Source organism: Homo sapiens, chromosome 17, assembly GCF_000001405.40.
Source record: "Homo sapiens chromosome 17, GRCh38.p14 Primary Assembly".
Lineage (NCBI taxonomy): Eukaryota > Metazoa > Chordata > Mammalia > Primates > Hominidae > Homo > Homo sapiens.
In genome coordinates this window covers 70,489,297-70,504,448 of record NC_000017.11, presented here as the reverse complement: position 1 = coordinate 70,504,448, position 15,152 = coordinate 70,489,297, and the positions used below count along the sequence as shown (strand labels likewise).

Below are 15,152 nucleotides of genomic sequence, written 5' to 3'. Positions count from 1 at the left end.
TTAAATGGAATAAAATAGCCATGAAATACCAACTTAACTTTAACCCTTTCTGAGGATTTCTTAAAATTGTCTTTCCTCCATCGAGATGATAAAAACTCTAAATTGCAGATGTCAATACTCAATAGTAACGCAACTCAAGAGCTGCACAGAGACATTTGAAAAGGATACTCACAGGGATTAAAAAAAAAAATAAGAAGAAAAACCTCATACAATTTCCACATTTTGGTGAGATCTTTATGTTTCTTTAAAAGTTCCATAGGTAATTTTTTTTTTTCCAGATAGAGTCTTGCTCTGTTGCCCAGGCTGCAGTGCGGTGGTGTGATCTTGGCGCACTGCAACCCCTGCCTCCCAGGTTCAAGTGATTCTCCTGCCTCAGCCTCCCAAGTAGCTGGGATTACAGGTGCACGTCACCACACCTGGCTAAATTTTTTTTGTATTTTTAGTAGAGACGGGGTTTCACCATGTTGGCCAGGCTGGTCGCAAACTCCTGACCTCAGGTGATCCACCCACCTCAGCCCTCAAAGTGCTGGGATTACAGTGTAATGTTTTTTAATGGTATTAACTGTAAATTAACTCATTATTGAGTGAATCATTAGCAAATGCATGAATACATGCAAAGTACTAAGAAGGGGGTCCGGCAAATAACGAAAACTTTGTGTTAATTCTCATTATGGAAATACTCATACAACATAGACTATTAAATAAATCCTTCCTTCGATTTCTCCTCTGCTTCTGCCAATCCTGCTTTTCATATACAGAATGTTGGAAGTCTGCCATGTATGCCTCTAGATTTTATCACACACTTACACACACACACACACACACACACACTTGTTTTTCTATAGTTGGGTTATTTAAAATATTTCTATTTTTGCACCTTGCAGTTCTCACTTAAATATCATGACACCCTTACTTGACAGTAAAATGTTCTTTTTATGTAGTTTTATCATTATTTTTATGTAGTTATTATGCTAACTTTATTAGTATTACATAAAATCAATGTGTACATATATTTTTAAAAATAAGTGTGAGGGGCCGGGTGCAGTGGCTCACATCTGTAATCCCAGCACTTTGGGAAACTGAGGTGGATAGATCACGAGGTCAGGAGTTCAAGACCAGCCTGGCAAACATGGTGAAACCCCGTCTCTACTAAAAATACAAAAAAAATTAATCGAGCATGGTGGCAGATGCCTGTAGTCCCAGCTACTTGGGAGGCTGAGGCAGGAGAATCGCTTGAACCTGGGAGGCAGAGGTTGCAGTGAGCTGAGATCGCAGCACTGCACTCCAGCCTGTGCGACACAGCGAGACTCTGTCTCAAACAAACAAATTAAAAAAAAACATAAGTGTGAGGGCTTATATAAAATGCAATAAGTTTCCTTTCTCTTCCACTTCCTCCCCAACCATGGCGCCAGCCTTTCTGACAGAAGCAACCTCAGTTTTAGTTTTTTTCTTTTCTTTTTAATAAAAGCAATTAGCACACTGATATTTTTCTTTTTTAAAAAAATATATTGGTGATATACCCTAATTTCCTGATTTTGTAGAATTTAATCAGCCAATGTTGGACTAGTGTAATAATCTTTTTTGGATGGCCATATAACTTTAGAAATGTAACCCCTCTGGAGAAAAACTGCCAATTCCAAACAAAATAAGCTCTCCATCGCCATTTCAAATAGGACAAAATCCTTTGTGAAAGATACTTTCTTAGTGTAGACAGAAAAAAGAATCAACCTTATTCTTGACCACCCAAGCAGTTAAAAGTAAGAATAAACTTTGAATTATACATTAATGTTTATAAACCTTCTAGATGGACTTATGTGTCGGGTTCGTGTGAATGAAGAAAAATAGAATCAAGCTTTTGTAAAAAACCAAAAACATGATATAGATTCTGTTTGGCTTCCAGAAAGTGAATAACAATTACACTGCAGCAGAACATAAGTGCAATAAATCTCAACTTTATTTCAAGTTTAAACTTTCAACCAAACATGGCAAAGTATAAATATAATTGCTCTTCAGGCCTTAAAACCTTGTTGGTTGAAATGAAAAAGAGGAAAAAACAAGTCTTTAATTTTGTTTTATAAACATAAGGAGAAAAATGGAAACCTTTTATCTGAAATTATTATGACATTTTTACGATATTTAAAGTGGGGGTTCTCAAATGCATGACTGAAGTTCATTCCAGCAAATCGAGGGTTTACACAGGTTAAAATGTCTGTGAGATTAGGATAGTCTCTTAGACACTCAGGTTTATCTTGTAATGTTCAGGTAAATTTACATAGCAGAGTTCCTTGAAATTTCTAGATCGTCTTTTTCTTTCATCCCAACCTCAGTGGAATCCTTTCATATCCACTCCAACCCTCTTTATCTGGACCTGCATGATAGAAAAGCTTGATGTTTTGACAATGTCTCCTGTTAGATACAGAAAAGAGAGATTAAAAAAAAAATCAGAGCTGGATGATACATGGGGGAAGGGAAGTTGTCTTAGATCTAAAAACCACAGCTCAATATTGTAGAACATAATGGTTTAAGACCAACATTTTAAATAAAACTTTGTTACACTTTTTTTTTCCCCAATAATATATGTGCTGGTCTATAGCTATATAGTCTTCATAGTAGTTTAGTTTCTTCTTATCCTTTCTTCCTGTAATTTAGTCTAATTGTTAAGAGTCTTATGATGTCAGAAAAATTTTCCAGGTCTTGGAAATAGGTGGGCATGAGAGACTACTGGGTGCCCTTTCAGTGGAGATCTGGGCATTGTCTTGAGGCCCCTCCCTAGGGATTGTCTGATTCTACAAAGGTGTGCATGTGTGATTGATTTGCCATTATTAGCTATTTGACCATTTTGAAGGGGTAGAAGTTAAGCTGTGGGAAATCAGAAGCAATGCAAATGTTTCCTGTTCATTGCAATGCAAATTAACTTTCTCTGTTAGAAAATATGCATTCCACGAATCACGTTCTCATTTGAACCAGTTTTAACCTTTTAGTATTTTCATCATTAATTAATGAGTAGAATGAAATCTTTTATATGTGTTTACTGTATATGTAACAATTTAACTTTTTAAGAACACATACTTTAACAGTTGTCAGTCATTGGAGGGTCTATATTTCTTGAAGGTTAGAAATCACTTACTAAGCAGCTAATTACAGGACACAGAAATCATAAAAGCTGAACTTCTCAGTTATTCTTTGGACTCAGCATTTCTTGTCTTTCAGGAATACAATTGTCTAGCACATTTATATTTGGAAGCAATTCAAATCTTAATTTCAAGTTTCTTTAGAAAATGAAAAAAGGAGGCTACGACATTCTTAATGCACAGCTAAACTTCTAAATATTATCTTTCTTCTATCTCTGCCACAAAGGTGAGATCTCTGTCTTTTTGCTCCTCCTCCCCTCCTCTCTGCTTTCAAGTCCAAGCCGTTGCAGCAGAACAACTTAGAACTCAAGCACTAGCTCTAGTATCCCCACACTCCAGGTCTGGCTCTCAAAATCAGCATTAGTTTGGTGCAAAAGTAATTGTGATTTTTGCATTAGTAACAGCAAAATAAAATACCATAGTAATGGCAAAGCAATTACTAATGGCAAAACCGCAATTGCTTTTGCACCAACCTAATAGCTGTAAGTCTTTAAGAAAACTGCTTAACTACCCTCTGGCCCAGTTCCCTTTCTGATTTATAAAAATGGGATGATGATGATAAAAATAATAGTAACAATAATTCTGTTGTCAGAAAAATTTAATCAGCTACTAAATGTAAGTGCACTTCGAGAAGTACTTGATGCATTGAACCTCGATGAATGGGAACTGTGGCTTAGGGCTCTTCCACTAGTAAGAATAGACTAGAATGTATTTTCCATACAGGATCTTCTAATGTTCTATGTCTGAATATATGACTCTAATCTTGAAGAGGCATCTTTCAAATTTAGCAATACTTTTATCAGTCCTGGATCAAGATTGTGATTTCTTAAAGTATTTAACCAAAATAAATCAAAGCTCCACAACTTCTAAACTAATGCCCAAACCCTGACAGGTAACTTCTTTATGAAGCATCACTCCTGTATCTTAGTGTCTTGTAAGTGCAAAGCTCTTTAACGTTAACAAAATTTTCAACACTTAAAAAAATTACTGCACCAAAAATAAAACCAAGATTTTCTCATTATCTTTGACTCCACATAAGTTCTGCAATTGTGCCTTGGTTCTTTAATTTATATTTTAAATAAACATAGTTTCAGTCACATGGTTCCTCTTGCCTCAAATATTCAGTATTAAGTCTTCTGCAAGTTTTCTGTCTACTTCTTTCTCTATGCTCTCAGAAATCTTTGTACTTCTTTAATTCTAGCATATAACAGTTTTTCTTCTTTGCATTCTCAATAAGTTTTGTTGCTGATTCCCTAGGGTGAGGACTTTGTTTTCTGATCTGCACATAATAGCAATAAATATTTGTAGATTGAATACAGAGAGGAGAAGGTGGATACATGAACTATGGGACTAACATGATTTCTATTCCTTTTCCTATGCAAATCTCATCCTCCCTTTGATGTCTTTTTGGAATTTCAACTCGTAAATGAAGACCTCCTTGTTTATCTCAGACCTCAGGAATATTTTTTCCTAAAAATTTCTCCAGAATTAGAATCCACATTTATTTTTCTCCTTCTCTTCCTTCTTTGTATTATTATGATGATGCACTCTTGAACTGAATAAGTCTTCCTTCTACCCAACCCCTGGGAAGGTTTATAAGACTATAAGATTCAGGTGCATAAGGACAATGAGCTATAACTTGGTACCATCCTCAATTACTCATGCAGTATTACATTCAGTGTAGGCATTCAATAAGTTCAGGCTTAGTGAAGGTTGTCACTGAAATCCCATCAGCTCAGCAGGGAGCAAGGAGCCTCTTTGAAAGTAAGTAGCCAGGACTCAGGACCCTCCAAGGAATGTGTGATTTAATTAAACTTTTCAAGCTTCAGAGTAATTAGTTGCTGATCAGCAATATTACTATTTTGAGTTTCCAAATTATAAGCACCATTAACTACAAACAACTACATTCTTAGAAAAAAATAGAGGAGGAAGTACAGGAAAATAATGCAGAAGTTAAGAACGTAGGAACACACAGGCATTCAGTGCAGATGAAAAGACAGAAGGCGCAGAGTACATTTGAAACTAACATTGAGAAAGTGACTGCTGATAAGCAGATGTGCACAGAGCCTTACTCAATAAAAAGAGAAAGTTATGTTTTGACTGTAGGAACATTTGTTTTACAGAACTGCTGTACTTTTGAAAGTCTTGGATTATTATTTACAAATATACTTACATAGTATAAAAACAAAATGACACACAGGAAAAAAAGCTAAGAAGTAGTCTGGCTCCAGAGCCCAGGTCTAAGTTCTGATTCCTAAGCTCTCTTTTGTTCTTTGGGTTTAGATTGTTTTTCTTTCAGCCAAGGGATGAAAAAGAGTAACAGACAGGCAAGCTTCCCATTTTCCCCACAAAATGTAGGATACCCCACTACCATTAACTACAGTATACTTTCTGTATTTCTTTTTCAAGAGAAGTGTTGGATTAAGAAATGTACAGGCTCATCAAACAAAGACAGAATTCTGGCTACCATTTGGACCTCACAAGATATTTTTGGAAAGAAATCCTGGAACTGTGAGTGGAAAAAGGACAATCTAAGAGCAAAACCCATCAATGAAAACCAAATCCACAAGCACGTTTGATTCTGAAATCCCATCTCCGGTCTATAAAGTTTTTTTAAAAAGTATTTTTCATTTTTCTTGTAGTATGTCAATCACTTGTTAGACATCAGAAAATAATTACCCTTTTTATTTTCAAAGTTTCTGCAATTATAAAGAGAAAACTGAGTAAAACAACAACAGGCCTGTTATTTGGCAGAGGATAAAAACATGACTTCGAAAAATAGTAAGACCTTTAAAAAATGTGAAAATGAAAACAATGCCTAGACTAGGACTGAGACACAATCTTTCACAGATAAACAATTTCATAGGCTTGACTGCCCTAACATTCATCATTTTCTTAGGTTGGGCCTCAAAAGTCATGGTAAATATAAATCTATGTCAGCCTTGCAGCAAAATGTAATTTTTTAGAAATAAGTTAAAAGTAAAGCTCTTCAAATTTTTATACTTTATTTGGCATAAATGACAGCATGCGATTCTTTTGAGTTTTATATTTTATTTTACACGTTTCGGTTTATTTATCATTGAGTGAGTACCCATTGCTTCTATTATTACTTAATTGAAGAAAACTTTTAGACATGTGTGTCATGAAACCATTACAATATTTCTTATGCATCAATGCCAATTTCAAAAGCTTCAACTGCCTGAATTTGGATAAAAATGCAGTTTCAACATCATTACCATCATTATTACAATCATTGTGTTTAAAAAGAATTAAGATACCGATGTAGAAAGAACATTTATGAAAGAACTGAGAAAGTGGCAGCCATTCCTTCAGATCCCACTTAAGATGTTTCTGCTTTTGAGATGCTGACTTTAAAGGTGTATTAGTTGATTATGTTATTAATCTGTTTACCCTTCCACCCACAGTTGAATGTAGAGAGAGCCTCAGATCTAGTGACCTGTTCACCCATCCTTAAAATAGCTTCCTTATATTGCTTTTAGAATGAAAAGCAATAGGAACAATGTACTGGAATGAGGATGTGCTATGGGGTCAGACTGACCTGGAAGCAAAGCCCAGCTCTTTTAACAATTACATAATCTCTCTCAACCTTAGTTTGTTCATCCGTGAAATTGGGATATGAAGACTGGCCCTGCTGCAAAGTTTCAAGGGTTTGAAATAATGTAGGTAGTGTTCAGTAGATAATAAGCAAGTTTTAAGATAGCATTTCAATGTGTTTGGTCACAACAATTGATTGATTAGGTAGAAACTTCTGTTCTCCATGATTCTACTGTGCTTATGTCGGTCTAGGGTTTCCTAGACAAGATAGTATATGAAAGTCATCAAACATCCCTTCCTTAAAGATGAGTTTCCTCTGGAGATGTATGGGAATACTCCCCTGAACACTGGTACCTTCAATTGCTGGCAAAAAACCATCAGACTCATTTTATCAAAATAATGAAAATAATGTAATCTAGAAAGAATTTCTGTTTTCCCCAATGCCTCATTCCCTAGAAAAGACAAAATCTATTGCCAAACTGTAGTATTGCTAACAAGCTATGGGAAAGAGAGGAAAATCCAGCACCTTCCAGAAGATATTTTACAGATAGTGGAATCACTTTAATTATTTTCAAAACAAAACAAAAGGTCTGCAATATTCCCAGGAAGTATATTGGGTGGGAATATTTAACCCACTTATTGAATGGATAGTTTGGACCTTTGCATAATCTTAACAAAAAATTTAGGTGTACTCAAATTTCCAAGTAGAAAACGTGGCATAGGAATTCTACCTAAACTTGTGAGGCACATGAGCAAACTTTTGCAAAGAATAGCTAAATATATCTAAAGAAATATAATTTACTGCATGTTATAACATATATTACATAATTCTTGAAAACAAAAATATTTAGATTTGCCCAGCACCTATGAATACCTCTAGGATTATCACAAAGACACAAAGATGTATCATTTTCTTTGTTTCTCAGTTTAATAATATAAAGGTAATTGGCATCAAATGTCAATCTCATCAAACATAATTGATTTGTTTTTCAATGCCTATGATAAGAACGAACTAGTGCACACATTTACCTCTTTAATTCATATTGCCCTGAAATTTTCAGTCATGTGTATTGCTATTTCAGAGCAATTAATTTACATCTAAGATAATTCCTAAGAGTTATTGAGAATTCTCAAAATTGATGTAGCCTATCAATCACACCACCTTCCAAAAACAAAAACAAACACCTTAACATTTGCAGAGTATTAGAAGCAGCCTAATTTTAGAGAGATTATCCATAATCCTTTATGTGAGTTGTTTCCCTCATAAAAAAAAAAGAAGTGAATTACTATATTTCAATGGGTCAGTGAAAACTTTCTCTGAAAACTGTGTTGCTATATAAACAAAAATGGGTTTATCTACTTAATTGGCTTAACATATATTTTTATCTTTTGTTTTTTTATTCAGTGTTATTAAGGTATAATTGACAAATAAAAATTGTAGACTATATATTCAGGGTGTACAAGGTGATGTTTCAGTATATGTATATATTTTTTAATGATTAACATAATAAAGCTAATTAACATATCCATCACCTTACAGTTAACTTTTCTTTGGGTAAGAATATTTAAAATAGAATCTCCTAGCAAAATTCAATTATACAATACACTATTATTAACTATAGTCACTACTTTGTAAGCTAAGTTCCCAGAACTTATTCATCTTGTTAGTGCAAGTTTATACCTTTGACCCAACACGTCCCCTTTTCCCCCACCCCTCAGCCTCTGGCACCCCCCATTCTACCCTCTGTTTTCTATGAGTTAAACTACTTTAGATTGCACATGTAAGTGAGATCCTACAGTATTTGTCTTCCTGTACCTGGTTTATTTCACTTAATATAAGGTCCTCCAGCTTTATTCATGTTGTCACGAATGTCGGAATTTCCGTCTTTTTCTAAAAGACTGAATACTGGTACAGCCATTATGAAGAACAGTATAAAGATTTCTCAAAAAATTAGAAATTGAACCGCCATACAATCCAGCAATTCTGCTGCTTGGTGTGTGTCCTAAAGAAATAAAATCACTAACTTGAAGAGATATCTGCACCTCCATGTTCATCGTAGCATTATTCACATTAGCCAAGATATGGAATAAACATGAGTGCTCTTGAGCACATGAAAGGATAAAGACAATGTGTGTGTGTTGTGGGGAGTATGTATGCGCAGGTATAGAAAGATTACTCAACTTTAACATATACTTTAAATGAAGTATAATTTGCAAACCTGAAGCAGACATTCTATTTAACTGTGTTTCAAATGTGGTCCAGAAAAAGAGAAATGGAAGGACAACTGCATGAAGGATAAGTGAAAAGCATCCATAGAATAAAGGTAAAGAAGGAGAAAACTAAGTTCACTGCAGAATGACATTTTTTTTTTGACCACGTCTTCAGAGTTTATGGATTTAGGAATATGCCAAAGGAGAAATGTTACCATTTGAAATGTCCATGTCGGTTCTCAGCCTGCAGGTGCCTGTTCCTCAGAGAACCTCATGTAGATTTATGTCCTCCTCATTAGGCCACATGATGCCATGTTCTATTATGACTAACATCCTTATAGTGTGTACAAAATATGTGAGACAAAAGTCCACACCCCCTCTTTGATTCTAATTAACTCTGTTGCCTGGGACTTAGCATTAAGACTCTGGCTTAACATCCCTACTTTAAAATGGAAATAATGACGTATCCATAAGACGTAGGGACCACTCTGAGGAAAAACTGTAAGTATTCTCTAGTTCCAGAGACCAGTGACAGTCCCCTGTTACAGTTTCAATGGGATTCTTTTATCCATTTTATTTTTCCTACCTAACATTAGGATTCAGTTCTCATTTTCCCCATGGACACCATTTTTTATAGTGACATAAATATATTTTCTCTTTCTTTTAAAATTGTTTTCAGGTTTTTTGTTTGGTTTTTGAGATAGGGTCTCACTCTGTCACCCAGGCTGGAGTGGAGTGGCATGATTATGGCTCACTGCAGCCTCAACCTTCAGGCTCAGGTGGTCTTCCTGTCTCAGCCTCCTGAGTAGATGGGACTACAGGCATGCACCACCATGCCTGCATAGTTTTTATTTTTTTATTTTTTTTTATTTTTTGGAGAGATGGGTTTTGCCATGTTGTCCAGGCTGGTCTTGAACTCCTGGGCTCAAGCGATTCCCTTGCCTTGGCCTCCCGAAGTGTTGGGATTACAAGCACGAGCCACCACACCTGGCCCATTTTCAGGTTTCTTAAGTTGCAATTAACAAAAGTTATATATATTTATGGGGTACAATGTGATGTTTTGCAACATGTATATATTGTGAAATGATGAAATAAAATTAATGAACATTCATCCCTTCACATACTTAAATTTTGCAGTAATAACATTTAAGATCACTCTCAGCAATTTTCAAATATACGATACAGTATTACTAACACTAGTGACCATACTGTCACTATGTGAATAGATCTCCAGACCTTATTCACCCTGCATAAATGAAACTTTGACGCCTTTGACTAACATCTCCCCATGTCCCTCCAGCTCTTTGCCAGCCTCTGGCACTCACCATTCTACTTTCTTTTCATGAATTAGACTTTTTAAGATTCCACATACAAATGAGGTCATGTAGTACCTGTCTTCTGTGTTGGCCTATTTCTCGAATAACGTAATGTCCTCCAGCCTCCTCCATGTTGTTAACAATGTCAGGATTTTCTTCTTTGTAAAGGATAAAAGTATTTATTCCATTGCATACACACACGCACGTGTGTGCACGTGCACACACACACACACACACACACACTGCATTTTCTTTATCCATTCTTCCCTTGATGAACATTTAAGTTTACTCCGTATTGTGGCTTTTGTGAATAATTATGTAATTAATGTGGAAGCCCAGGTATCTCTTTCAGATAGTGATTTTATTTCCTTTGTATGTATACCCAAAAGTGGAATTGCTGGATCATATGGCAGTTCTATTTTTAATTTTCTTTCTAAATTCTGTACTACTTCTCCATTTCTGTGGTATACAAATTACAATAGTTCTCTTGGCTGCTGAGGACATTTTCTTGGATTCATTTATAGATTTGACAACGCCCACCTTCTTCCCCAGACTCTTCATATATATTGCACACCATGATAAAGCATTTTGAGCAATTGAATGGAAGGACTCCTAGATAACGCAGCAGGCAAAAAGGAAACTCATCTTGGATGGAAAAGAAAATGAATCATCAGAGACAAGATAAATGCATACAATAAATATAATATTGTACCCCAGGGGACAACAGAGGCATTGCACCTAATGGCCATAGAGTATAATAAAGCCATAAAAATAAAATAAAATGATGCACTATTCCCAGTGCATCGACCCACCCACAAGTTGCTAGCAGCACTACCAGAATAGATGACATTTCCATGATGCATGGACCACCAATGAGGCTCACAGAGATATGATGTATTTATGGTTTTCTCATTTATCTTTTAAAGACAGCATAGGAATGTGACTGTGAATGTAGAAAGTACTTTCAAAATCCTAGGAAAACTTAAGCTGCATAAAATTTATAGTCAAACAAGCATGCTACTACTAAGACCTAAACTGGCTGTTATTAAAGGAGAGGTAATAAAATGAATGCGTCTTAAGGATAATTACCTCTTTTCAAAAAAATATATAGTTTCCAAATACATGTATATACACATACACACACTTTAAAAATTTTGAAATATAATAAAGAAATAAATATTGCATAAACATAAAATAGTGTCATATTCAGTTTAATGGACTGCAGAAAAGAAAATCTGTGTAGCTTACACCCAAGTCAAGGAACAGAACATTTCTGTATTCCAGAAGCTTCCATGGGTCCCTTCCCTATTATAAATCACTCCCTCTCTCCTAGTGGCAACGACGTTCCTAATTTTTTAATAGCTTCATTGAGATGTGATTAACTACACATATTTAAAGTCTGCAATTTGATCAATTTTGACTTGTAAATCACTGATCATAATCAAGACAATAAACATATACATTAGCCCTAAACCTTTATTCATGCCCCATTATAAACCTCACTATCCCTTTTCCCCCAAGTCCCCCAGGTATTCAGTAATCTCTCTTCTGTCCCTATATTTTAGTCTGAATATCCTAGAATTTTCTATAAATAGAATTATACAGTTTGTACTCCTTTCATTGTCTGCTTCTTTCACTTGGCACAATTGTTCTGAGATACAATCATGTTGTTGTATTTGTTAATAGTTCATTGTTTTTCATTGTTGAATGATATTCTCGTGTGTGTGTGTATGTATGTATGTGTGTGTGTGCATGTGTGTGTGTGTATTATCCATTTACCTGTTAATGCGCAAATGTATTGCTGCCAGTTTGGGATCCTTATAAATTTAGGTATATATGGACACATGCTTTCCCTTGGGTAAATACCAAGGAATGCAATGGCTGGGTTATATTGCAAACTAATTTTTAAATATTTAGATAACCATCAAATGGCTCTCCAATGTAGTTGTATCTGTTAACATTCCCAGCAGCAGTGAATGAGAGTTACAGTTATTCCACATCTTTGCCAACAATTGGTATGGTCAGTCTTTTGAATTTTAGCATACAATATGAAATATTTTATTGAGAGTATTTTTTATTTCAAATGTAAATGTAGTCCTAATTATTCAGTTCTTTTGAAGCCCAGATCCTAGTAGAGAGATTCATTCTTTGCTTCTCCCACCTACTGTACATAGCCCTGTTCCAAGTGGATTACTCTTGCCAGTCCACCTTTCCAGACAGATCTCTTAGTTCTAAGTTTTAAAATTTAAATCATTGTTCTACCTCCCTTTAAAAAAATCTCCTGTCTCACCAATCACCATAGCTCTTACAGTGTGTGGGATGATGAATTCACTATTTGCCGTCACATCCTATAAGTCTCATAAATCATCTGTACATATATCATATTATTACAACAAAAATTTGTGGATGAAAAATATAAAACAATTTATCATCTGGCTGTATAACATTTATTTTAATATCTCAAAATCAGAATAATAATAACACTAGTGAAAACATGGAGATGATATATTAGGAGAATAGGAAGAGTATTTTAATTTTTTCTAAAACAATTGCTATTTTAATAGAAATATGACTAAAATGTATTTGGTTCCATATATTGAGTGTATATTGATATTCACACATTTGCTCATAATTACTTTCTAAAACTACCTATAAAAATTTAGCCACTGTATCAGATTATTACAAGAGTTGGACACTGCAATTAGTAGAACAGTGAAATTATTAAGTGCAGAGAACATATATACCTTTTTTTTATCAAGAGAATAATGAAGGTTCAGTTTTATTGTTGCTATAGAGTTTCCATTTGTTGGCTTTTGATAAGAGCTTGGGTGATATATTCTGACCTCCAAAAGCAGGGTATAAATCTTCATTTCAAAGCTCATAGCAACAAATGTTATTGTCCTACATATTTAAAAAGCTTAGGAAAAACAAGACAAAGTTAAATTTCCTCATGATAGAAAAGAACATATGTGCCCTTCCAAACCCATAAAACTGAGATGAAGAGGCTAAGAGAAAGCAAAGTCTTTTTAAATTTAAAAGATAAAAAAATTCACGTTCACAATGCCAGACCATATTTTCCTGCATTCTGTAAATTATTTTCCTAATTCATATAAATTTTACCAGAGTTATTCCTTTTTAATATTTGTGATAAAATCATTTACCTAATCATAACTATGAAAGGAGGGTCCAATGACCCTCCTTAAGATATATAAATCTTAAGACATTGTGATGTCCAAAGAGATGCTAATGTTAAGTTTGTACATGTTTGCTTATTGTTGATGAGTCCATTTAGCCAGTAAATAAATTTCATTTCTCTACCTTTGATATCCCAATTCGTGGGCTACTTAAGTGTTCTATACTTTATGTGATTTGAAAAGGAAAAACCAATATATAAATCTTGTCCAGGATTTATATATTTGTCCAGGATATCTTAAAAGTTAAAAGATACGCTTAAATTATTAAATTTTTCTCATCTTACAAAGGATTACAACAAAATACAGATAATGGGCTTTTTCCTAACTTAAAAAATTAGTAGGATTTTTTTCACTGCCGCCTTCATTAAAACTAGCATGTCTAGAAAGAACTGTCTTATCAAATATCTGAAATAACCATAAACTTCTGTATTGTTTTTAGTCATATTAACATGAAAATATTTAAAAAGTAAACGGACTAAGCACTACTGTCTATTTCTCCAGAATAACACTTTCATAAACAAGAAATGCAAACAAACATCTTTAAAATCTGAGTTTCGTATACCACTTGCTTTATGCACATTCTTTCAGTAAGTTTATTTTAGAGCTAAAATGACGATAGGAGAATATGTCTCCCTGGAAAACAAAATAAAGCACTATTTTGCAATTGTAGGACTTTTCTGGGGGAAATGCACGAGAAGAAAAAAACAAACTGTGATAAAAAAGTTGACAAGAAATTTAAGGTCTACTGAAGCAAATGTGAACAGACGTAAAAAGTGGTATTTTACTGGATAAAGATGTATTTTGGTAAGATAAATTGAAATACTTCTGTTAAAATAATTACATCCCATCTAAATGAGTAATATTATTAATTAATGTGAAGAACATAAACTTTTGGAAACAAAAGACCTAGATCTGTAAATCGTCTTTTATTATCAGTTGTACAGTCTTGACAATTTATTCCAGAAAATATAATTACATCAGTGCATGTAAAGAAAAAAATCACACCTCAAATTGGTTTGAATAAAAAGACCGAAAAAAAAATCACCAACAATTTAGAAATAAGAAAATCCTAGGGTGGGGTTGGATCAATTTTCAACAATATCAGGTCAGATTCTTTCCAGCTCATCTGACACACTTCCATTCTCAGAGTGTCAGCTTGTCTTTAGGAAGGTTTCCAACAAAGACAAATCATCACTACAGCAGTTTAGAGAATCATATCTAGAGTTAACCATGCCCAGTGAAAGAAAAATGAACACTGGTCAATAAAAAGATGAATAATGTGTTTTTAAGTCAAAAATACTCTCTGTGAGCACTGAATTCAAATTAACTATAGTCCCAAGGTTAAAACAAATGGACAATTGTAGTTATAGACAGAAAGTAGATATAGACCAAACAGCACAGAAACAATGAAATGAAAACCAAGTTGGGAGGGGGTGGGGGAAAAATTGGGGTTGAGAACATTTATAATATTTTTTGTTTTATTTATTAGGTTAGCCTGGTATCATCTGAAAGTGATCAATAATGCAAAAGATGTATATGTTAAGGTATAAAATAGAACACAAAAATAACTGAAGATTTGAGTGGCAAGTAAATGTCTAAATGGAAATATTGTTTATCTTATTGCTAATAGAAGAAATCAGTATATATTGTGTAAAGATATAGAATATAAACTGCATCATGTATAATGTACTATATATAATTATACTTAACTATTAAAATGCTTTCCAAATTATCAGAAAAAAGCC

The 15,152-nt window shown here is 34.2% G+C and overlaps 1 long non-coding RNA gene across 1 annotated transcript in view; it reads right to left on the bottom strand.

Annotated features, from left to right (window-relative positions):
• Positions 1-1,931: 1,931 nt before the first annotated feature.
• LOC124904100 (uncharacterized) overlaps positions 1,932-15,152 on the bottom strand; it is a 62,816-nt gene continuing 49,595 nt past the window's right edge. The window contains exon 2 of the long non-coding RNA XR_007065977.1: positions 1,932-2,406. This is a non-coding gene — a long non-coding RNA (uncharacterized LOC124904100). The remainder of the gene's footprint in view (positions 2,407-15,152) is intronic.